Source organism: Homo sapiens, chromosome 8 (genome assembly GCF_000001405.40).
Source record: "Homo sapiens chromosome 8, GRCh38.p14 Primary Assembly".
NCBI classification, from domain to species: Eukaryota; Metazoa; Chordata; class Mammalia; order Primates; family Hominidae; genus Homo; species Homo sapiens.
In genome coordinates, this window is record NC_000008.11 from 103879299 (window position 1) to 103906321 (window position 27023).

The 27023-nt window shown below is 33.4% G+C and overlaps 1 protein-coding gene across 64 annotated transcripts in view; it reads left to right on the top strand.

Moving 5' to 3' along the window:
- The window catches only part of RIMS2 (regulating synaptic membrane exocytosis 2), a 755485-nt gene that overhangs the window by 378689 nt on the left and 349773 nt on the right, over positions 1 to 27023 (top strand). For all 64 annotated transcript variants that reach the window (NR_145710.2, NR_145711.2, XM_017014015.3 and 61 more), the window contains one exon: positions 6000 to 6925. Coding sequence is in view for 62 of the 64 variants with exons in the window: in XM_017014015.3 (XP_016869504.1) it covers positions 6000 to 6925 (926 nt within the window). In the remaining 2 variants the exon portion in view is untranslated. The remainder of the gene's footprint in view (positions 1 to 5999; positions 6926 to 27023) is intronic.

The following is a 27023-nucleotide window of genomic DNA, read 5'->3' on the forward strand; positions in this document are numbered from 1 at the left end:
GAACTCACTGAGGGGGTAAAAGTGAATGGAAGGAAAAGTAAAGAGGAAGAAGGATTGCTATTAACTGCAATGTTTCTGAAATTTTCTTGACTTAAGAATAAAAATAAGCTGTGGGCAAATGGATTTTTTTTTCAGTTTGGTATGAACTGTGGGGTCTGTATGGTTGAAATTACTGGTTTTACATTCCTATGAAAATGAATTATTTTGAATTTTTATTGCCTTTCTCTTTGAATAATCTACCAGTCTTTATTAGAAATCTGAGAGGTAAAAAAATCACATTCTCTGTCCACATCTTCCCCCCAATCTTTTCAAGACCTACATTTAATTCTAAAATAAAATGATAGAGGTGAATACCTATACAAATAGTGGAATGGTACTACCATATATTCCTAGACCCTCATTTAAACTTGCTGTTTGTGAGATCTAAAAACAGCACAGCACTTTTTAATCTTTTTCTACTCGTCTAACACTGGCCTTTTCTCAGTTTTATATAAAAGTATTTGGAAACATTTAAATATAACTTTCAGAGTAGTAATATTAGTATCCAGATAACTGGCTTTTGCTAGGAAGGAATTTGTGTGGCCTTATTAAAATTCTTTTTAATTTTTTTTAAATCACTGAATGAGCATTGAGATGTTAATTGATAAATTAAAATGAGCAAAATTTGATTTAAACTTAGTGTCTAACCAACTTCTTAGTTAATGGAGCACATTACTTTTTATTAAATTTGTACAAAAACTGCTGCTTCTTGAACCTTTGGGGAAACATTGCCTTTTTACTGAAGATTAAGAAACTTGTTAGTGAATAATTGAAAAGAAGTTACAGAATAGGCCTGTTAAACTATTACTATACATTTTATGGTGAAAGCTTAAGCAGCACAATTATCAATAACAAGCACATAGTTATTTTAGAAATACTGCAATTCATATAGGAGAAGGTGATTTATAAATTTCTAAATCCACCAGTTTTAAGCGTAGTGCCCAGAAATGCCTTGGATGCAGCTTGCATTTGGTGTTCAGTATTGTGAGGCACTAATCAGCTAAGTACCATAATCCTCCTTACAGGGTACATTCTTACTTGACCTGGAGCTATATACAGCCACATAGTAACAGCATTAAAGAATAACCTTTTTCTTAACAGGCCCATCACTAGAGGATTCTATGACTCCATCCTTTGAATGAGTGTTGTTTTTGTGTAATTTTTTAGTAACTTAGTTTTGAAATAAAACAATTGTAAACAAGTAGAGACTTTCAAATCATCTGATTAAGGATGGCTCCTATGATTTTGCCAGGGCTAGAAGGATTAAATGAAAGCACTGCCTGGCACACTGTTGATGTATTTTTGTCAACATGATGCTTCATGCTCGACAGATGTGCATTGGTTGAACAAAGGTAAAATAATGAAAATATATTAAATCTTAATTGTGATATGTAAAAATTTATATATTTTTGTTTTTTTATAAATAGAAATTGATTTATTCAAAGCTTTTTGTAGGAATTATAGAAACGGGCCTTTGTTTTCATGTTTTACAGGATTATATACTTCTGTTAAATCCTTGATTTAATGTGTTTTAACAATTTAAAATTTTAGAATTTGGTTGCAATGTTATGCTTAAACTGCATGGTTAGTTAGCATTGTGTAATTGTATTCATGAAGTATTACATTAGTTTATTTAGCAATATCCATGCTTTATAAAGATTTTTAAAAACAAGTAGGTATTTTTTCAGGTTATTGATTTTTAAAGAGTGATTTACATATTTTTATTTATAAAGTAACAATTTTTTAATGATCTCTACTAATAATGCTTATGAGTCAGGAATTTTCATATAGGTAGTACTTAATTTAATAATATAAAATTTGAATTTACAAAAATTAGTAATCTTCAAATTTTGCACTGTATGTCCAGTGTTGTCATAATTTTTAAAAATTGCATATTTCTACAGTTGAGTTAAAATATGTAAATATTACAGTGTAGGTTTCCATGTAATTTTTCACTGTTTATAAATGTTTTCAAATGTTCATTAGACTATATTTTCAGAGATTTGATGATTCTTTTATCAATATGGTCAGAATTATAGCTGGTATTAGTAACACAAATCACTTAAGATGGTAAAGCCTGTAAATATTAAAATGGAAGTTATGGTAAAAACATGATGAATTAATTTATGGCATGTAAACCCTGGATGCCTTTGGGAAATCTGGAAGTGATTTTAATTGGGAAAGAAGCTTCTTTGGAGTTTTCCCATCAGTCAGTATGCTTTTTGGACATAGAATTTAAGGAGTCTAATTGGTAGGATTTCCTACGCAAACTATTTTGCATAGTTAGAATAACATTTATAATGGAGCATCAGATGTGTTATACAAGCTAGAATATTTAGAAATAGATTGAATAGTCCACATGACAAACAATTGTAAGCAAGGAATAGAAATGATACTTACTACAGTAGATTTAGGATGTTTAAAATGTGGTTTTCTATAAACTGGTTCTAATTAAGGACAGAATACTCTGGCAAAAGAGAAAGCAATTCTAACAACACAGGTGGCAATAAAGAGAAGTGAATCGATATTAGGTAAATATAAAGTGAATATAAATATATACTGATATTATAACAGAAATAAGGATAATAGAATGCGTAGGAGTAAAGATTAAGGCACTATATGATGCCACAAATACATTTTATACTAAAGAAAGGCATAATTTTGGATTCTGCCTCTTAATTTCTCAGGGTCTTTGAAGGATTAAGTGAAATGTAAAATCCTAGACGAATCGTTCCTTTTCCTTTGTATTATAACAGATGAATTAAATACTGCTAAATGCCTTATGGTTCTGTAGAGAAATATACAAATTATCAATGATATTGCTTTATCTATTAAATATTTTCCACCTGATGATAATAAATGCTAAGGCTTGTTTATAAAGGCCAATAGCAAAGATATACAGTAGAAACACATTACTTGAATTTACACTGATTTTATTTAGTTCCTGAAAGGAATATACTATCTATGAAATATAGAAGTTTAAAATTTAAAGGACAGTATATATGAAGTAATTCATAATATAGTTGGTAAAAATTGTTTGATAGAATATTTATTATTTTGAAATAATTGATTGCAGGTTCTTCATTGTTTGATACATGTATTGTTAGAATGAAATCTTGCCTTGTTTCTCGCATAGTGTTAACATACTGTAAGGTACTATACCTTAAAGGGTATTCTTGAAAACCTAAGTCTTTGTAACAGTGACAGTAGTCATCCCAATTTCCGATTATAACCACTGTTCCATTTTTATAGTGGTTATAATCTTAAATCCAGTACAAATCGACATCTACAGTATGATTCACATATTTCTGGCAAATTTGATAATCTCTAGAACAATGTGATTGCTGGATTTAACATTGAATTCAATTTTCCTAAGGTATGATTTTTAAAAAGTACTTAGATGGCTTGCTAGTGACTAATTATTAATAGCCTTTCTCTTGGAACTGAATTCCATAATAGGAAGTAAATATTCTTATTTATCTGTAAGATAAAATATAATCCCCTGTTATAAAGACTCATTGTATTCACTTTATACTCTACTTACTTTCAAAAATTCATGTTAATTCCTTAAGATAGGAATGAAATATTCCTTTTTTTAACTTCTATCCTAAAATACTCAGTTTAACATTAAATGTATTATGGGAAATCTTTAATGCATTAAGCTTTCATGTAGGCTTATTAACTTGATGAAGTTGTGGTATCAATATTGTAAAATCATAGTACCTAAGAAATGGAAGATGGTTTTAGAATCATTCACCCTCTTAAGAACAAGGAAGGTGTCTTAATCATTTCTGCATTCCTAATTTATAAGATAGTGTGTGGCATTTATTTCTTAACCTAATATATGTTTGTTAAAGTAATATATAAGTTAACATGTAAAATCTATGCCTCTCAATTTAAAGCACAAACTCCTAAGGATTTAATGGTTATATAGTTCGAAATAACTGGCTAATTACAAAAGTATGACTAAGAACTGTAGATTCCTTAAATCTAGTGTTCTCTTCATGATAGACTACTATCATGCTAGAGTTTTTTTAGTCAAATGTATAAAAGTAATGACAAAAGTGAAATGAATGATGCACAGTGCACACACACATATACACAGAAACATAGGGTGTTGGGTACTATAAATTTTTTTGAATGTTTTGTTTTGATTGTAAATTTTAAACTGTAGGAATCTATGGTTTTATGTAACAATTGTAATATAAAAGATTTGTAATTAAGTCCTAAGTGTTTCATATATAAATGTAAATGCTAAAAAATATCACATCCACTTTCTTAATTATAAAACATTTAAGGGATAGACTAATTTTTTCACTTTCTACAGTACTTATTCCTTTATAGTTCCAGGTTAGAGTTTATCCTGGCTTTGTACTTACATGAGATTTGAAAGGTAGAGGATATACAGAAGCCATTATTGTCAAGCATTAGTTGTTGGCTAGCAGATGGGCAGATATAAAAGTCTTAGTGGCTCCTGGGCAAACTCCTGTTAATTGGCCACCCTGATGCTGTAGGTGGTACAGGTAATTGCTGGCAGATTTCCATAGACTCCTGACATTCACAGCAGCTTTCTAGTGTCCATTTTGAGAACCCTTGTCTTTGCATCTTCAGGCTAAGATCATCAGCATTAACTTTCTTGGCCTTTATTCCTGTCGCCCATTCAACTGTTATGTAGCTTCTGGTTCCTGAATTAAAACCCTTCCTACCTGGAAAACCTAGACTAACTTCTGTTTTCGTTAGTGAACCTAATTGGTAGATTGGCAGACTGTGTTCCAAATATGAGGGGAAAAGGGATTCTGTGACCCGGGGGAGATATTAGAGAAGAGTGCTGATTTTGCCAGGTTGGGTCATTCTACTGTATCCTTTATCTGCTCTTGCTTTTGGGCTAAGAAACCATTGACTAAGAAATTCACAACTGAACTGTTGAATCTTAGTCATCTTTAACTTCAGCTGACTTCACTCTTTCATTGTCTCCTGTTCATGTCCTGGCAAAATCCCCATAATAGTTTTCTAAACCTTTTCTGTTATCTTCAGGATTCTAATCCTATTGCTTTTCATGATTAATAGTTGATATTATCTAAGTTTATTCCAGAGAAAAGGTTAGTGTGAATATTTTGTTAACAGGGTATCATGTCTTATTGCAAGGTTCACTAGGTTTTACCAGTGTTAGAAGGGTAAGTTGAGAAGGTAATAAGCAGTTTCTTCCTCTGAGACTATAAGGAAATATGAGGGGTCAGATGTGGAGACTTAGTAGAATAATATCACCAAGCTGTTCTTAATCTAAATGAAGATGGAATAAAAATAGCAGTTTTTTCTGATTTCTAGGATTTTTGTAATGAATAAATCATTATTATTTGTCTATTTTTATTGCTTATCTCAAGTTAGATCAATAAAAAAGGGTTGGAGACATGATGATAAAATGAAAATTTAGGTGAACCAATACTAGGAATGATCTAGAAGATGATGAATGAAAAATGATTTTTAAGAGCCAGCACTTAATTTTAGTCAGAAAGTATTCAACTCTTGAGCCAAATCAGTTTGGCTTCATTACATTTTCAGGTAACTTTCATATCAGCATGTTAGGTATAGAGAAGATGGAGGAAATATTTTTCTAAGCTGCTGAATAATAGTTGGTGGGTAGTGGAAGTGTACGTAGCAAACCAAGCAAGGAAATTAGAATAAATGCTAGTTTATAGCAGTGGAATATCATATTATCTAATTTTCAAGCATAAGCATATTCCAGATATAGTGTTGCAGGCACTTAATAACCACAACAAAGTACTTATTTGAACTGAATATAATGAATACTACTAAAACCATTGTTACGCTATGCCTTTAAAATGAAATTTTAAAAAGGCAAAAGGACTACTTAGTTATCCATCAACCTGCCAGCAAATCAATGAAATGTAAAATTGATAAACTTTTGCTCTTCTCATTGTTCTTTTCCTTTGGTTACTTAGGAAAAGAAGCCCATCTGTGTCCAGAGATCAGAATAGAAGATACGACCAAAGGGAAGAAAGAGAGGAATATTCACAGTATGCTACTTCGGATACCGCAATGCCTAGATCTCCATCAGATTATGCTGATAGGCGATCTCAACATGAACCTCAGTTTTATGAAGACTCTGATCATTTAAGTTATAGGGACTCCAACAGGAGAAGTCATAGGCATTCCAAAGAATATATTGTAGATGATGAGGATGTGGAAAGCAGAGATGAATACGAAAGGCAAAGGAGAGAGGAAGAGTACCAGTCACGCTACCGAAGTGATCCGAATTTGGCCCGTTATCCAGTAAAGCCACAACCCTATGAAGAACAAATGCGGATCCATGCTGAAGTGTCCCGAGCACGGCATGAGAGAAGGCATAGTGATGTTTCTTTGGCAAATGCTGATCTGGAAGATTCCAGGATTTCTATGCTAAGGATGGATCGACCATCAAGGCAAAGATCTATATCAGAACGTAGAGCTGCCATGGAAAATCAGCGATCTTATTCAATGGAAAGAACTCGAGAGGCTCAGGGACCAAGTTCTTATGCACAAAGGACCACAAACCATAGTCCTCCTACCCCCAGGAGGAGTCCACTACCCATAGATAGACCAGACTTGAGGCGTACTGACTCACTACGGAAACAGCACCACTTAGATCCTAGCTCTGCTGTAAGAAAAACAAAACGGGAAAAAATGGAAACAATGTTAAGGAATGATTCTCTCAGTTCAGACCAGTCAGAGTCAGTGAGACCTCCACCACCAAAGCCTCATAAATCAAAGAAAGGCGGTAAAATGCGCCAGATTTCGTTGAGCAGTTCAGAGGAGGAATTGGCTTCCACGCCTGAATATACAAGTTGTGATGATGTTGAGATTGAAAGTGAGAGTGTAAGTGAAAAAGGTAAGCTTTCTAATCATACATTTTGCTGTAATTGATTAGATAAGCGTTTTTTTTAATAGATTGCATTTCTGAGTGAAAATTTAATAGGTATTACTAGTAGCTTTATTTTAAAAGTCTTTTAATGGCATCGAACGTGTGAAGAAAATTTCGTGTTATAAAAAGTATCTTCTGTTGTTCATGTATAAGAACGACAGAATGATGTTCTATTGATTTTTAAAAATTGCCTTCTTGCTTTGTTTCTGAAAGTTTTCTTGTATCATTTGACAGCATATTTCAAAAATATCCATTAACTGTAGTTTTTAAAATAACATTTATTTTTTGTCTCCTTATAAAAGTAACAATATATTCACTATAAAACATCTGAAAAAGTCCTCAAAGCATAAAGAATGAAATGCAAGTTATCCATATTTCTTCCCCCAGATATAACCATTGTTAACCTTTTATTGTATTTTCTTTCTTTTTTTTCCTATGCATGTATGGTTTATAGATTTATAAAATTGATATCATGCTATATATAATTTTGTATACTGATGCTTTCAATTGTTATCACATCATAAATGATTTTTTTCAAGCCATTAGATGTTCTTTAGTAATACGTTTTAAATAGCTACACTAATATTCTATCATAAGATTATACCACAACTAAATATTTCTTTATTTGGGGCATTGCTGTGGCTTCCATTTGCCAATGTAAAAATTATAATGGTTATCTTTATACATACTTTTTGCCTACATCTCTTGAGTATTTCAAAAATATATATTTGTACTTTGGATTATTTTAAGCTTTAATTCAGATTACCAAATTGCTTTCCAAAAAGGTTGTAACATGCTTTACTCTTATCAGATGTACTTGAGTTTTCAGTCTCAATTCACCAAATCTTTGCCAATTGAATAGCCACAAAAATGCTCTCTTTGTCATTTTAATTTGAATTTGATTGTAAAGTTGAATGTTTTATATGTTTATCTGCATTTGATATCTTCTGTGAATTATCTGTTCATTCCTTTAATTCCTTCTGCCCATCTTTCTCTGGGTATTAGTTTTTCTATTATTGATTTATAAGCACTTTTTATATAGTTAGGATTTTACCCCATTTAACTATTATTTGCCAAATACATTTCTCATTTTAATGTTTATCTAGTATTTTAATTTGTTTATTTGAAACTGTTGAATTTAATGTATCTAAACCTTTGTATTTGGTGATTTTTTTCCATTATTTTCATCTTTAAAAGCTCTTTATTCGCTTCCAAATCAATTAAGTATTTAACTGTATATTATCTCATTTTTAAATTATTTTTAACCATTAACTTTTTTAACATTCTGGAATTTATTTTGGTGTATGACAAAAATATACCAGATGGATGAGTATCATACCAACCTCCTACCCCCAATTTCCTTATACTATTTGATGAATAGTCCATTTTTTGTTTATCGAATCAACAGGAATCACTAAGGGAATTCAAGAAAGGAGCTAGGTATGAAATGATTATGGAATCATTTTATACTGTACCAAAATAATTAGTTAGAACACATTAATTGTTTCCATTCTGAATTAAAAATAAAAAATGTGATATAAAAATAACTAACAAGAAATGAGGGGCCCACAGGAAGAGCCATAAAATTTTACTGAGTAACATAAGGAAGATGTGAGTAGCGGTTCATTTCATGTTCCTAATTAGGAAGGCTAAGTAGTATAAAGATGCAAGCTCTTTGCAGATAATCTCTTGGAGTTAATAACATTCTAGACATAATACCAGTTGGACCCTTGAAGTATTTTATTTCTAAAGTTAGTCTGGAAGAAACAACACTTGTAAGAATAATTAAGAGTAGTGAGGGAGAACTCACTTGACCAGATAGTATAAAATGACAATAATTGAAAATGTGATACTGATAGAAAATTTGGACATATCGGTGAAATTCTAATATAATATATTAAAACTAATAAATGATAAAATATAAAATGCACAACAATCCAAGTGGGGAGAGATAAACTATTCAACAAATAGGGTTGGGGAAATGCATATGAAGTTTTAAAAAATCACATTAGGGATATTTCATATTTGTTGCATTCAAATGATAAATACTAAGAAAAACTTGCTTATTAAAATATAGTTATCTATAAAGAGCAACTATCGATCTTAATTATTTTTTTTATGGAGTATATAGAGATTTTATTTTCCCTAAGCTGTAGTACTTCCTTAAGTATATTTAATAATCTTTAGTTTGGTCATTTTTCACATTTGCCAGAGTATATCATGATACTAAAAAATAAGAAAAAAGATAGTTTTGTTATCTTTGGTGGTTTGGTTTAGATTCTATCTGGTAGGTATTTCTATTATCCTTTGCTAAAGTAATGCCTTCACTTGTACCACATAAAAATGTAAAAAACTCAGAAATGTATCAATTCAGTGCTTGAAAGCTTTTTTATATGTGATATCTTTATTTTAGTATTCTGAAGTATCCACTTATAAAAGTCTCATATAAGTAAAAAGGTATATATGAGTTAAATTAAAATCCTATTTGAAACAAATTAGCAAAACTAAAACATTTATCAAATATAGAAAAAAATGGCTTTCACTTTTTTTTATTCCAAAACTTGAACTTCTAATAGACGCTCTTGAAGATAGGCCTCTGTCTCATTTATTTAATCATTTGTTTCACAGAGGACAGTTTCTGCCAACATGTATTTGGCAGAAAACTACACTTTAATTTGAATTTGGAAGAATAAACTTGAATGAAGTAATCTTTTTTCTGTTTGATATTTCCCCCAATAATTGAATTCAGTGAGGATAAATTGTAGCTGTTGAGACACTGGGATATTATGGGAAAGAGATTGAGTTATGTCTTGACTTTTCATCATTATAGTAGCATTTTTTTATTATTTGTGGAAAATTGGCAATTTGATTTGGGAATAAATTACCTTTAGAAGTATCTAACATTGTGATTCATCTTTGATAGTTAACTAATGTTAGAAAATTCTTCCTAATAGTTAAAGAAATTTTGTTAGTGAATTTTAAACATGTTTTTCTGTATTTTTATATGGAGTGACATCATTCTGAGAACAAACCAACTTTTAAAAAATAATCATCACTTTGCTTTATTATCCCTACACTAAATAACTCCAAAGAATGTGTTTTACAACTCAGATCTCTTTCTCCTTGTCTTTACTTTTCTGTTTTTTTCAATTTTGTGCATAATCTTTCAAAAATATGCAAGGCAAATTTGCATCAAGTTATCTAATTTTAAAATGTTAACCAACACTTTATAAATAGCACCAGGGAACATTATCATTGCAGAATAATTTTTTTTCGAGGTCCTAGTACATCATAGCTTCTACTACGTAGCAGAATCTTTCCTGGTCTATAAATAATAAAATTCCTTGGAAATTGGTAGCGAGTTTATAATTTACTCTACCTAATTTTTTTTTCTCTGCTGTCCTTTTGGATATTCTGTTTCTTTTCTTCTTCTATCTTTAGCCTTATTGGTGTGTTAGTGACTTTGGCTCGTCTCTTACTTGTCACTTCGGATGGATTTCATTATTTTAAATATACAGAGTTTCACTCAAATTTATAATAGATGTCATTTCATTCAGTATGTTCTGTTAAATGATGCTGCTAATTACAATGACTGGGCCATTGTTTGTGTAACAAAAACAGAGAGGTTTCATGGGAAGAGTATCAGTTTTGGAGTAAAAGAGGATGATCAAACCCTGGTTCTGTCCTTCACTATGTGATTTTGTTCTACCTTTTTAACCACTCTAGGTCTGTTTCTTTACCTATAAATCTGTAAATCAGGATAATAGTATCTTTATTGTTCAGTCATTGTAAGGATCAAATGAGACTGTGTATACACAATACTCATCATACAGTATTCAAATCATTTTTGGATTACTTAATGTTCTGTGATAGTTAAGACTTCTATAGGACAACTCTCAAGAGCTTTGAATGAAAGTATAATTGTGGTCATACGGATGTGGTCATTTGTGTTGGTTTCACCTCTTCCAAGATCTGTCCTAAACTGAATGAAGCTTGTTTTCAGGGTGGAAAGAGTATGCTTAACTTGTTGAGATGTAATTTTGAGATGTAATTCAGTGTCTCACTGAATACTGAACACCAATTTACTCATTTTTCTGCCAAGAACTCTTTCAGTGCCTATAATTTGCAAGGTGTTGGATTGGATCCAGTGGAAAATGTAGAAATGATTTACACATTTTTTCTATTCTGGAAATTGAAAATCTAAAATAACTAGCAATATAAGGCAATTGTACTAAACAGGTACCGTAGGACTTCAGAGGAAAGAAGCATTAGTTGTATTTACTGATTTTTGCGCACTCTGTATGTCTTGTAACACTTTTCTTTTACTCAGTGTGATATAGTTTGCTTTTTATAACACTAAATTGATCGCTTTCCCATACTTTCTGTTCGGTTAGGAAATTGCAAATTGATTTTTTTTCTTTTTCGTTTTTTGTGTGTTTGTTTTTTGCCTTTGGGCTATAGAAGGAGGTAAGTCTTAGATTGCTAATGTCATAGTATTTCTGAATTTAAATATTTTGAACATTCTTCTCAAAGTTTAAAATATATTTTTTCATAGCCTTAAAAAGTAATATTGGATTTGTAATTTGATCTATTATTTTCTTATTGAGTAGTCTATAGCAGGTTTCTCAACCTCAGCACTATTAACATTTGAGGCTGGATAATTGTTGTGTTGCACTATCTCATGCTTTGTAAGGTATTTAACAGCATCCCTGGCCTCTACCTACTAGATGCCAGTAGCACCCCTAATCACAGTTGTGACAGCCAGAAATATCCCCAGACATTACAAAATATCTCTTGTGGGGCAAAGTTCACCATCTCCAACTCTCGTCCTCATCCTTATCCACTTCATTGGGTCTCCTCCCCACTTCACTTTCAGAACCAATTGAGAGGATCATAACCATCATTTTTTTAAAAAGAGTAGACTAGAATAGAGTAGAAAACATCAAAGTCAAGTTCACAGAGTAAGGGTAATTGTGTTTGGTAAATTTTTGTTTTGTTATAATGTAAAATATATATTTCTTTCTGTAGATTATGGCCAAAAATGTTTTAAAGTTACTCACTTATATTAGAAGTTTGTGACTTACTTGATGCTCGTGTTTCACGTTTAGACCAAGAGAAAGGTCTAGAAATTGGTTTCAGTGGCGAATTAATATCTTGTATAATAGATTCTGAACTTTTCATTAGATATATTTTAATCTTAATATTATAATCCAGTGAAATTTTTCACTTTAATTAAATAGCCATGTTGTCAACCATTTGCCCAACTGCACAAAAGATGCCCCATTTGATCTTCTTTAAGTTGAGGTCTGTTGTGGAGAGTTTTAGTTTCTTCTGTGTCTCATGGCCTAATCTGACTATTTTTACCTGGTAGTTGCAGGCCTTTTTTTGTTTCTGTATAAAATTTTGTGTAAAAAGTGGCCTAGCAAATGTAAGAATACATGTGTTTAGTTTTCTAGCTATAAATTATGAAATGTTTGAATCAATTCTTACAGTTTTGAAATTAGCACAACACACTTTTACTTACTTTGTAAGATGAGAGGGTGAATGGAAATGGTGGTGGATTAATTTGTAGAGAAGACCTAGCATAGGAGGAAGGAAAAATAGACTACACCTTTCAGATAGAAGCGTTATCCTTTAAGCTTTTAAAACAAACCCAAAAGATGTCGGCTTTGTATTTGTCTGAGTTTAGATGTTGTAAGTATCATTAGTGAAATTTACTGACTTACATAATCTCATAATTTTTTATAATTTTTAAGTAATGAATTTATGTGTTTGTAAAGAAGATAGGCTGTTGAAGACAATATACATTAGCAGTGTGAGGAAAATATTAATTTATGGTATTTCAGACCAATTAAACATCTAAGGAATTCTAAACCAATTGGACTCAAAAATTTTTAGGACAAATTCTAATAATAAGAATATGTTAAAAATTCTTAGCTAGATAACAATTTTTTTTTTTTAATTTGAGACAGGGTCTCACTCTGTTATCCAGGCTGGAGTGCAGTGGCTAATCATAGCTCACTGCAGTCTTGACCTCTTGGGCTCAAGAAATCCTTCTGTCTCAGCTCCCCAAGTAGCTGGGACCACAGGCTTTCACCACCGAGCCCAGCTAATTTTTTTTATTTTTATTAGAGATGAGGTCTTACTATGTTGCGCAGGCTGGTCTTGAACACCTGGGCTCCAGCAATCCTCCTGCCTCAGCCTCCCAAAGTGCTGGGACTACAGTTGTGAGCCACCACTCCTGACTTGTAATAAAATTTACTAAGACTTTCACAAGTAAAAGTTTTTAAAAGTCAAAGATTGATTATTCTCTTATGTATTCACTCCACCTATCGGTAAAATAATCTTATGCTAAATAATTATTCCAATTTTAATGTGAGTCTTAGGACTTTACCCTTGAATAAAAAGGACTCAATCACATTGATGTTACATGGATATAATAAATTCCTTTGTTGCTATATTAGGCATCATTATAACTCCTGACCTCAGGTAATTGGCCTGCCTTGGCCTCCTGAAGTGCTGGGATTATAGCCATGAGCCACTGCACCTGGCCCAAATTTTAATTGAAAGTGAAGGCTGTTATGTTGGATTGGAATTCAGTAGAGGATGCCTAGATTTTAATATTTAGTAAAGCTTTAAACATTTGATGATTAAATTTGTTCAATGGATAGAAAAATGTATACTTTTGTGGAGGATATATTATTATTATATTATTATTATTAATTGATGAGAGACATAAAAGAGCAAATGTCCTAATGGTATTACAAATGGTGTATAGGGCATTTATAATTGACCTGAAAAAGCATTGAAATAGCAGATAAGTTGGGTTTAAGACTAATTCAATATTTCAAGAGGGATAGAGTAGATTCATTCATTCATTTATTCATTATTTCTTTCAGCTAAAATATATCAAATGTCAATAATATGTAATACTAGAGTATGAAACATGAAATAAGATAGCATTTTTTCTTGCTCTAGAATTCCAGCTTTGGGGTACAGGAGTAAAATCTTGGACTGTAAATTTAACTGCATATATGGTAGTTGCTTCATCCTAGAAAATTGTATCTGGGGTAGGCTTTTATTTTTGTTAGCCTGTGCTAGAAATATTACACAAGTGAAAGGATTTTAGAGTCAGTTTAGCAGCAAAACAACTTGACTTCTTATTTAAGCCTCAACCTTTTGGGTATACAATGTACTTTTACTGCATGTGGGAGATTATCCATTTATTAGGAAGTGTCACTTGAGAAAATGATCAAATAATGCAGTTTAGATCAGGGATAGATAAACTATGGTTTGTGGGCACAATTCAGCCCATCACTTTTCTGTATATCTCTTGTTTTTGAACTTGGAATGTTTTTTACATTTTTGAATGGTTAAAAAAACTTAAATATTTTGTGATATGAAAATCACATGAAATTTAAATTTTAGTTTATGTAAACTAAATTTTATTTAAACACAGCCAACCCAGTCATTTATGTATTGCCTATCGGTTCTTTCATTGATACTTTTTTTATGACAGAGTTGAGTAGTTGAGACAGATTACATGTTGTGCTCTCATTGCTTTGCAGTGCTGCTCAGCAACTACAAATTACAGTGACTTGTTTGTAACTCCACAGTGTTTTGAGTAGCATGCACACAGCCATGCTGTGGCATTTCATTAATTTTTTATTAACTGTGCACACATTATGTCATGTCAAGAAAGGATAAGGAAAGCGGACTTTGAATGTTACAGCTTTAAGGCACCATGGAATGTGGATCACATGTTACCAGATTAAACACCCATCACAGTATTATCAACTCACAGGAAAGCAAAGTCCAGAAAAATTTGAAAATTTAAGTCACCAGATTTGGTAACTTTTCTTAATGAACTTAACCCAAAATTGTGAGACAAAAAAATAACTATTTTAAGAGAAACTTATACTGTGGTAAAGTTATTTCAACAATTAATGTTTGAATCTTAACTAATGTCAAGCTGTTTTATATACTTTACTTGGTGTCAAAAGTTAAAACAAAATAGCAAGATCTCTGTCCCTGCAGAATTTTGCAGTAGAAATATCTTCTAAGGTCAAAGTACAGTTCCAGCAATGTTTCTCAGACTTCAATGTGAATACAAAGAAACCTCCGTATTTCAAAATTTGTTTAATTGTGCAGTTGAGGACCTTCAACTAGAAATGACTAATCTGCAGTATAATAAAATGCCAAGCTTTTAGTAGAAGAATCTAGTAAAAACCTAGAAATGTATTAAAAGGGATAAATATGCATAATTAGATTATATGTTTATCAATCGATATCAGTGTTTGGCAGTACCTATCTGTATGAAAAGAAAATTTTTGAAGATCAAATACCTCTTATTACAGATCAGTGGTAGCAGATGAAATTTCAATGATAGGAAACACTAACATTGAACCCTAATTAAGTGAAATGTTATCCCCAAAATGTATAGGTCTATATTTCAAAAATTATAGTCAATTATTATTTTATATTTTAAGTTTCATCAATAAAAATTGTGGAAGTTTGTCTTCATTGTTGTTACTTAAGACCTACATAATAGCTTCAATTTTGCTCTTTTGCTTCTAAAATATTTGCTATCTGGCTCTTTAGAGAAAAAGTTTGCCAGTCCCTGGATTACAGTACAGTATGCATTGTTCATTTTCGATAAAGTTATCTTGAGATCAGTTGATATTTTCTAAAAATGAGAAAATAATCATTAATACTTTTTTAACTTTGAAAAACTAAAAAAATTAAGTTTTAAAAATTAAATATTGTTATAATTATGCTTATAATTTTTCTGCTGGACATTTATTTTCTTCAGAATTTAAATTACTTTGCTTCACTTTTTAAGCAATACAATTTATTATAGGAAATAAAATTATGTGTACTTACTGAGTTCTTATTTTCCTGTAATTCTTTGACAAGGTTTTTTTTTTTTTTCATTTTTGAACATATTTTTAATAGCTGCTTTAAAATCTTTGTCTGCTAAATCCAACCTCTGTTCCACTGAGAGTCCGTATCTTAGCTCAGGCTACTATACCAAATTACCATAGACTGGATAGCTTAAAAAGCAGATGTTTATTTTTTACGGTTCTGGAGGTTGGGAAGTTTGAGATTAAGGTGCTGGCAGATTCAGTGTCTAGTGGGGGCCCTCTTTCCAAGTTGCAAATAGCTCTTTTTGCTGTATCCTTACATGATGTGGGAGAGATAATCTCTCTTGTGTTTCTTCTTATAAAGGTACTAATTCCATCATGAAGACTCCACTCTCATGACTTCCCAAAAGCTTCACCTCAAAAACTATTGTATTGGGGATTAAGGCTTCAACACATGAATTTGGCAGGAGGGGCATGCAGACATTTAGTCCGTGGCAGTCAGTTTCTTTGAATGATTTTTTTCCTAGTTATGAGTAATGTTTCCCTATTTCTTTGAATGTCTTATAATTTTTGGTTGAAAATTGGGCATTTTAAGTGATGATCATGTAATAACTCTGGATTCTTACAGATTTTCCTGAGGATTATGTTTTCTTTTTTCTTTTCCTTTTTATAGTAACTTTCTTGGACTTAAAATGTAGAATTTGTCTCCCTGTGGTATGTGTCCCTCTGAAGTCTCTACTCTTTGGGTCACGATCCTAATTGTTAGCCAAAGATTTGGGTAGAAGTTGTGCTCAAATATCTTGAATTTGAAAGCCTCCACCTTATGCCATTTAATGTTTGTGTGGTATACAGACACATTTAAAGTTCAGCCAGTTCTCAACCCTTGGGTTTTACTTTCTACCGTGCTCTCTCAGGATCTCCCCTGTGTCTAAGAAGTGGTATAATTTCTTAGCCTGATATATGTGGAGAGTGTATTTAGCTTTTCTGAGGGTCTCTTATTTCCATGGTCTTCCTGTCAAATTTCTGACTGGTCTGCTTCACCCTTTGTTGGACCACGCCTTAGGCTAGAAAAATTGCTGGTTTTCTATTTCTTACTGGGTTTGCCTCTTTTAGCTGACAAAACCTTGGGTTTTCAGCTCCACCCCAAATCAAGTTTATGTCTTCTGGTAGCAAAAAAGCTGCTGGTTTTCCCAGCCATCCTCACGCTGATAGATTTATTGATCCTTTCAGTAGACCCGTCCTGTGTATGTACTCTGGTAGAAGAAAGTTATGGAAGCAACGCTAGGTAAGAAGGTAACATATATCTGTTGTTATTATCTGAAGCTCTAGAAGTTTTTCTCAATTTGATATCTGCTTTTGTTTGGTTTCCACAGCCATACAATTGTTGTGACCAATTTTTCAAGACTTATACTTGATTTTTGTGAAGAGAAATAGTCAACACTTTGTGCCACTATCTAGAAGTACCACCTTTTGCATGATTTTGTGAGTTTGGAATTCAGGCAAGGTTCAGCTGTGTAGTTTTTCTTCTTCAAATGATGCTATAGAGGTTAACACTGGTGGAATTTAGCTGGTGGTATGAGCTCATCTAGAGGGTCCAAAATGACTTATTTTGCACATCTGGCACCTTAGCAGGGATGATTAGATGGGATTCTGAACCAGTGCACCTACTTTTGGTCTAACATAGCAGTTTCCCTATAAGGACTTCTTATATGATGGCTCAGGGCTCACAGAGATATAATTCTGAGACGCCACTTATTCTGTCCTAGCTTTGGACTCATGTGGCATCACTCCTACAATATTCTATTTGGTATTAAAAAACAGTCACAGAAAATACAAGGAGAGGGGTCCACAGAAGGGCATGGATACTGGGAGACATGGTTTGTTCAAGGACCATCCAAAGAGCCCCGTTACCCAAAGGGCTTTAAAGCATGATACATACATCTTTTTTTCCCCTTATTCCCATGGATATTTTCACAAACCACTTCTCCAGACATCCTTTTCTTCAATCTTGTGAATTTTTTTCCCTTGTTGGCCTATTAATTAGCCAAGCCATTTGCCCTGCCTATGTGTTTGTATATATTCTTACTTCATGGCACCTTCTTTTTCTACACAAAGTGGATGGCCATCTGAAGCCCTGGCCTATTTTCTTCATTGCTTTCTTTCAGGGCCACTCTTGAATAGGGCTGTGGTACAGCACCAGTCTACTTTTGGCTTTCATACACATGCTGAGCTATCCCATCAGTGAACCAGGCATGATGTTTGTCCTCCTTTGTCAGGTAGCCATAAGTGGCCCCTCATGTGGCCATAGATGTGAGCTGAGGGAGAGATGCCAATACAATATTAGTAGATGGCATGGAAGTCTGCGTTACCTTCATATGCATTTTACTCATGCCCTCTGGTCCTACTGATGCTCAAATATGGATCACTACATCTGTCTTATAATGAATCATTGTTTGGCTTGTCCAACCTTTCAGTTTGCAGACCTAGCAGACCCTAGCTTATGAGGGGCACTTCTAGCTGTTTGGTCATTGATGATTTATGACTAGATCTTTGCCCTCCACCAGGGCTAAGAGCATACCAAGAAGTAGTATATAGGTTTCCACTGCAGACTACATGGCCTTGTTCCAGAACAAGTGTGTACATTGTGATTCTCCTAGTGAGACTTGCCATAAATTGTATATGGCTTCTTTTCCCACCATAGATGCTTTTAATACCATATAGTTTGTTATATCATGTGGCCCAAGTGGCAGGGTTGGACTTTATCTAAAGCGTCTTTCTGCTCTGGGTTCTATTTTGAGCTGGAAGCCTTCTGTATTCTTGGCAATTGAGTCCAATCAATATTGCATAGTGTGGAATATGCTGCCTTCAGAATCCAAAGAGATGACCTACCACGCGTTGTGCTTCCTTCTCATTGGTGGTAGGTACAAGAGGTAATAATTTGTCCTTTGTCTCAGAGGGGATGATCTGACCATTCCCATGACCACTAGGTCTCTAAAAATTTCTCTGGTGTTACAGGCCTCTGAATCTTTGTAGGATTTACCTTCTACCCTCTAAAGAGTATATGACTAAACAAGACTTCAAATATAATTACTACTTCTTTCTCACCATATAGTGGACCAATATGATGTCCTGTGGAATGTCCCTATGGTCTCAGTCTTTTTGGACTGTATTATGATAGAAGGCAGGAGAATTAGCATAACCCTGGAAAGAACTATCAGTATGTCCTTTTGTCCATCCCAGGGGTATGTGATAGTTCTGGTCCTTCTTGATAGGAATGGAAAAAAACATATTTACCAGTTCAGTGTCTGCATATCATGTACTTGGGGCAGTATTAATTATTTAGGGAAGATGCAACATCTGGCATGTTAACCTGAGATGGGGCTACTACTTGATTGAGTTTATAGTAGTCCACTGTCATTTTTTAGGATGTATCAATGCACCTGCTTTTTTAGAGGGCAGACTGTTGAATTAAAAAAAGGAATATAATGTAGGCCATCACCTTTGTGCCCTTATTTTTTATGTAATTTTCACCAGTGGGAGATGGAATTTTCAGAGGCTTAGGCTTGACTTTCCCCATTATGGTAGTTCTTTTTGTTTGTTTTTATTTTTTTTTATTATTATACTTTAAGTTCTAGGGTACGTGTGCACAATGTGCAGGTTTGTTACATATGTATACATGTGCCATGTTGGTGTGCTGCACCCATGAACTCGTCATTTACATTAGGTATATCTCCTAATGCTATCCCTCCCCACTCCCCCCACCCCACAACAGGCCCCAGTGTGTGATGTTCCCCTTCCTGTCCAAGTGTTCTCATTCTTCATTTCCTACCTATGAGTGAGAACATGCAGGGTTTGGTTTTTTATCCTTGTGATAGTTTGCTGAGAATGGTGGTTTCCAGCTTCATCCATGTCCCTACAAAGGACATGAACTCATCAATTTTTATGGCTGCATAGTATTCCATGGTGTATATGTGCCACATTTTCTTAAACCAGTCTATCATTGTTGGACATTTGGGTTGGTTCCAACTCTTTGCTATTGTGAATAATGCCGCAATAAACATATGTGTGCATGTGTCTTTATAGCAGCATGATTTATAGTCCTTTGGGTATATACCCAGTAATGGGATGGCTGGGTCAAATGGTATTTCTAGTTCTAGATCCCTGAGGAATCGCCACACTGTCTTCCACAATGGTTGAACTAGTTTACAGTCCTACCAACAGTGTAAAAGTGTCCCTATTTCTCCACATCCTCTCCAGCACCTGTTGTTTCCTGACTTTTTAAATGATCGCCATTCTAACTGGCATGAGATGGTATCTCATTGTGGTTTTGATTTGCATTTCTCTGATGGCCAGTGATGATGAGCATTTTTTCATGTGTCTGTTGGTTGCATAAATGTCTTCTTTTGAAAAGTGTCTTTTCATATCCTTTGCCCACTTGTTGATGGGGTGGTTTTTTTCTTGTAAATTTGTTTGAGTTCTTTGTAGATTCTGGATATTAGCCCTTTGTCGTATGGGTAGATTGCAAAAATTTTCTCCCATTCTGTAGGTTGCCTGTTCACTCTGATGGTAGTTTCTTTTGCTGTGCAGAAGCTCTTTAGTTTAATTAGATCCTATTTGTCAATTTTGGCTTTTGTTGCCATTGCTTTTGGTGTTTTAGACATGAAGTCCTTGCCCATGCCTATGTCCTGAATGGTATTACCTAGGTTTTCTTCTAGGGTTTTTATGGTTTTAGGTCTAACATTTAAGTCTTTAATCCATCTTGAATTAATTTTTGTATAAGGTGTAAGGAAGGGATCCAGTTTCAGCTTTCTACCTATGGCTAGCAAGTTTTCCCAGCACCATTTGTTAAATAGGGAATCCTTTCCACATTTCTTGTTTTTGTCAGGTTTATCAAAGATCAGATAGTTGTAGATGTGTGGTATTATTTCTGAGGGCTCTGTTCTGTTCCATTGGTCTATATCTCTGTTTTGGTACCAGTACCATGCTGTTTTAGTTACTGTATCCTTGTAGTATAGTTTGAACTCAGGTAGCCATATCCAGCCAAACTAAGCTTCATAAGTGAAGGAGAAATAAAATCCCTTACAGACAAGCAAATGCTGAGAGATTTTGTTTGTTCGTTTGAGATAGAGTCTCACTCTTGTCTCCCAGACTGGAGTGCAATGGTGTGATCTCAGCTCACTACAGTCTCCACCTCCTGGGTTCAAGCGATTCTCCTGCCTCAGCCTCCTGAGTAGCTGGGATTACAAGTGCCCACCACCACGCCCAGCTAATTTTTGTATTTTTAGTAAAGACAGGATTTCACTGTGTTGGCCAGGCCATTATAGTAGTTCTTAATTCCACAGGCCAAGGAACTAATGTAGGGGTTATTCTGAATACCAAGTATGTCTATATGGAGACTGCTATAAATACCACTAAATGGAATCTGTGGAATTATTGAGCCTACCATGGGCCAGACTTGGGCCAGGACTCAATTTATTACTTATTTTCTATATAACCCCAATTTAAAAGTGGGGTTATGATGATACTGGGATTTTCAGTGTCACTGTCAACTAGGTACATTGTGTCCAATAGTTCTTAAAATGTGTGGGTTATTTCCTTTCCTGTGTTTACTGTTACCTGAGAAAACAGCTGAATTCACTTTCCATGATGTTAGAGTTCTTCCTCCTGGCAACTCATCCTTTCTTTCAGTCACAGGATTCCATGTCTGAAAACTGGTTTAGATCCAGAAACTATGCAAGGAGTTTTGTCTTGTTATTGGGGTGGTTTCCCTTAGCCTCCTGATTATCCATAATTTTTGTTTTGATTATATAGATTGGGCATATCTTCATTAGTTGCGCATCTGTCTTGCCCCCAGGGACGCTGTGCTCAATGATCTTCTCCTTAGCAATGTGTATCCATACTCTGTGGCTACCACTCCTACCTTGACACTCATTATAATAATGGCATACTCACTATGTATTTGATTGCTAATAGCTGTCACCTGGCCTCTATTTCAGGCTCCTCTTTATCTGATTGTTTTTGGGGAGCCCAGATAAGTAACAACATCTCTTACTGTCAGCCCTATCAGTAAGAGGAAAGCCAACACTGGTATTCTCAATGATGCTGGTGTCTGCCTCAGCAGTGTGTTTCTTATTTCTTTAGCAAATGGAGGGGCATCTGAATCCTCAGATTCAGAGGGTTCAGGGGATCTAGTTTTAGGAATTTCAAGTACATGCAGCTAAGATGTCCCCATTCCATGCCTCAGGTTTCCCTACTTTCAGGAATCTGCCCTTAGTGTGGCAAACTTGCTGACATTGAGAATTTTACTTTCTTTAGAGCATTGTTACCTTTATAATTAACACTTGGGCTTGATACTTAGCTGTTTATGCCCACTAGTTGCAGGAAATGAGACTATATGCTTCCAAAGAAATCTATATACATATTTAAATTATATATTTTACTTGTCTATCTTTCTAGAATGTGAATTTCTTAAGCTCCTATTTGTACCTGTGGAACCTAGAACAGTTTCAAATTGTGTAATTATTAAGATGAATTCTAATATATGCCATATATACAATCATTTCATCAATTACATGTTTTTAAAGAAGAATATGTTGGTAATACCAAAAGAGCAAGATTTTAAAAAATAAGCTAATTATGGATAATGTTTATCATCCTATTTCAAATTCTACTGTACTTTAGCCAGCCATGCTTTTGTATTGGAGCTTAAGACTTGGTCTAAGCACATGGGGCCTCTAGATCTACTGACATTTTGGTTTGGTTCCTATTCTAAAATCTGCTGCTTTCAGAGCTGGCAGTGAATTAAGAGCAAATTGCCAGACACTTAGCAGCTTAAAACAACAACACATGTTTATTATCTCACAGTTTCTGTTGGTTAGGAGTCTTAGCATGGCTAAGCTAGGTTTCCTACAGTTACAATCAAGTTGTCATCTGTGCTGCATTTCTATCTGGACACTTGATGCAGGGAAGAATCTGATTCCAAGTTTAATAAGATTGTTGGCAGAATTTATTTCCTTTTGACAAGAAGCTGCCATCAGCTCCCCCACATCTCCTAAAGGCTGTTAGTAGTTCCTAGAAGGTATCCACAGTTCCTAAAGGCTGCCTGCATTTCCTTTGTAACATGTGCTTTACATCATGGCTGCTTACTTCGTTAAGCCAGCAAAGAGAGTATCTAAAACAAGCTGACTAGCAAGGCAAAGTCTTATGAAACTTAACAGTGTCATGGGAGTAAGATCCCATCACCTTGCCATCCCCCTACCTTGTTTATGAGCAAGTCACAGGTCATATGACTTGTGACTCATATACAAAGCCATGAATACCATGAGGTGGGGATTATGGGCTACAATCAGTCCTCTGCACAGTGTCCAACAGTTTTCTCTGAAGCAACTCCATGGAACATAGTTTGCAAACCATTGCCTTACATAATATACCCTATATATGACCTTTTTTAGTTGGACTTTGTGTTTAATAGTTTACTAGAACATTTTCTTTGGAATGGGAAAGACTTAAGACTTATTATCAGTTTTAGTGACTATCTTATGAGAGGAAATGACCCTCCAGGAAGGCTTCAGCAATATGTCTCAAAATATAGTTCCTGGGACACTTGTCCTCTGAGAAATCTTCTGTGTTTCAATTAAGTTTGTGGAAACAATATATTATATAATCCTCTTAGTGAAGCATATTGTCGTTATTATTTGAAAAAAGTCCTACACTCAAGAAACCTATTTAATTGTACTTAAATTAGAGTTTTCCAAAGTTATTTGATTAGAGAACTTTTAAATTACTCAGTGCCCTTTAACATTTTGCAGAACCAGTATTCCATGCAATACACATTGGGAAATGCCACATGTATAACTTGACAAGTTGAAAAGGAGGACAGAATACCAAGAAGAGAAATAAAAAACATAAAAGAGTCATAGTTAAATGTTCCCTACCTAATTAGAATGAAAGTTAATATTTTTTTAAAAAATGATGATGAGATCATGAACTTGGTATGACTACACTTTGCAAAGAGCTTTCATGACTATCTTATTTAAAACTCTCAGCAATCTGTTAGATATCACAACTAATTTTTTTCAAAACCGATGAGAAAATGAGGCCCATGACTTGTACAAGTCATAAAATTGATAAGGGGTGAAGTCAGTATATTAGTATAGCTTTTCTAGCTTCAACTATAAAACTCTTTCTGTTACAACATGTTATTACTTTATAAACATGATGAAGTTGAAAATGAGGTTGTTGAAGAATGCCTTTATGTACTATGTGATTTAATTTTTAAGTATTTATTAACCCAAAGTAATGAAAAACAATGATATAAAATAGTTAATGAACTATTGTCTTAATGTAATGACTGTATGACAAAATGTTGTAAATAGAATATATGAACATTTTTTCTCTGTGTATAGAACACACATACACACATAATTAGGTTTGTTTGTATTTTACAATAGAAGTAAGTGAAGGGGAAATTTTAGTCAAAGGTTCAAATTTTTAGATTATTTTTTGTCAGGTCCTCATATTTAAGTATGTTTAACTTGTGTTAATAGAATAACTGAATACCAGAGTTAGACAGGATTTAGTGTGCTTCTTGTGTAACTTCCTATCTGAAGCATTGACCCTTCTCTACATCGTGCTGACAAGTGATACTCTAGCCTTTTCTTTGAACACCTGTTGTGATGGGGTGGTGACAGTCTATGAAGGCAGCAAGACATTTAGATTTTTACTTTGAAGTATTTATAGATTTGTAGGAAGTTGGAAAGATAGTTCAGTGAGATCCTATATATGCTTCACCGAGTTTCCTCAGTGGTTATATCTTGCTTAGCTATAATTAAGAAACTAATACTGGAACAATGTTTTTATAGTTCTAGGACATCTTATCACATATATGGATTCATATAACCACCACTTCTATAAAGATGAAGAACTACTATATTACCACAAAGATTGTTCTTACGCTTCCTCTTTCTAATGACATCTTACTCCTTCTCCACCATCCCTGATGTCTGCCAACCACTAATTTGTACTTTATGTCTAGATTTTTATCATTTAGAGAATGATATATGAATGAAATCATACAGTATGTGACATTTTGAGTTTTTTTCCAATTCATATAATGCCCTTGAGGTCTATCCATGTTGTGTGTATAGTTTTTTCCTTTTTATTATAAGTAGCATTCCATGGTATAGATATACCACAACTATTAATGGATATTTTGGTTGTTTCCACTTTTTGCCTGTTATAAATGAAGATATCTTCTTTGGTGAAATTTCTGTTTATATAAAGCATTCAGCCTTTTATCATTAAGTATGATCTTAGCTGTTGGATTTTTATTGTTGTTCTATGTTAGTTTGAGCCAGTTCCCCTCAATTTTTTTTTAGAGTTTTTAAAAACCATGAATGCATTTTCTACATCAGCGCTCAATGGATAAGATCATGTAATTATTTTCCTTTAACTTTTTAATATGTGGATCACACTGATTTTCAAATATTCAACCAGTCTTGCATTCCAGGAATAAACTTCATTTGGTCATAGTGTATAATTCTTTTTACATGTCACTGGATTCTCTTTGCTAATATTTTGTTAAGGATTTCTATGTTTATAATCATGAACAATATTGGTCTACAGCTCATTTATAGTTTGTCATTTTCTTTTTTGTTTTCTGTTTGTTCCTTCTATTGTTCATTTTGTTGTTTTCTTTTCCTTGCCTTCCTACAGGTTATTTGAACTTTTTTTTTAAACATTTTGTGAATTGTGTTTTGATTGAGCTAGAATGTTTAAGTGTATTTCTTTTTGTAGGTTTTTTTGTGTGGTTGCTTTAGGTAATATATTACATGTACACAACTTATCACCTTGTATTGGTGCTGACGTTTAACTAGACTGGAATGTAGAAACCTTAAGTCATTTAAATTCCTTTATTTTCTCCCTTATCTCATAATGGACTTGTCTTAAATATTTTCTTTATATATGTTGAAAACCACATCAGACAATGTATGTTCTGCACTTTAAATATCAGAAACATAATTTAGAAAACTCAAGAGGAGAAGAAAACCCATATTTTTGTTTAGTATCTTTATTTCTTCTTGATACTTTCAGATTCCTTCTTTTTTTGTTTCTCTTTTGTTTCAAGAACTTCCTTTAGTTATTTTTTTAGGATAGATCTGCTGGTGACAGATTGTCTTTGTTTTCTTTTGCCTGAGAATGTATTTCTCATTCATTTCTGAGAGATAATTTCATCATATTTAGAATTCAGGTTGACATTTCTCTTATTTTAGCAATTGAAAAATATTGTGCCACTTCCTTTTGGCCTCTGTTTCTGATGAGGGGTTGGCTATCATTTGAATTGTTTTTCCCCTTTAGGTAAGGTGTTGCTTTTTTCTTGGAGCTTTTAAGATATTTCGTTTTTAGTTTTAGTTTGATTATGGTGTATCTTGTAACAGATATCTTTGGGTATTGTTTGTATAGGGTTTTACATAGTTTTTCAATCTGTAGGCTTATATCTTTGGCCAAATTTGGGAAATTTTCAGTCTTTATTTCTTTGAATACTTTTTTTTTTTTTAGCCCATTCACTTTCTTTTCTCCTGGACTTACAATGATATGAGTGTTAGACTTTTTGCTATAGTTTCTTAGGCCCTTGAGGCTCCGTTCATTTTCTTTTCTTTTTTTTTTTTTTCTGTAGTCTGTTTTCTGTCTGTTTTTCAGATTGGGTCATTTTTATTGTTCCATCTTCAAGTTCATTGAGTCATTCCTCTGTCCTCTCCATTCTGTGGTTGAGCCCATCAATTTGCTTTTTGTATTTCAGTAATTTTTTAGTTCTAAAATTTCCATTTGGTTCTTTATGTGCTTTCTAGTTCTTGTTCTAGAACTGGAAAGCCCAATAATACATTTTTGTACTGTTACTAAAGAAAGATATTTTATTATCTTAGTTCTGTACTATTAAGCTGCAAAAAATAAGAATATCCAGTGGAAACTATTATTAGGTCTATAATAATAGTCTTAATAGTTTTTAGGACTATTTTCTATATGAATTACCATTAATTATCTTATTCTTACAGGGACACTAATTTTACTTATTCAACAAGTGTTTAGTTAGTACTTATACATGACAGTTTTTTGTTTTGTTTTGTTTTGTTTTTGTTTTTGGAGATGAAGTCTCGTTCTGTTGTTGCCCAGGCTGGAGTGCAATGGCACTGTCTCAGCTTACT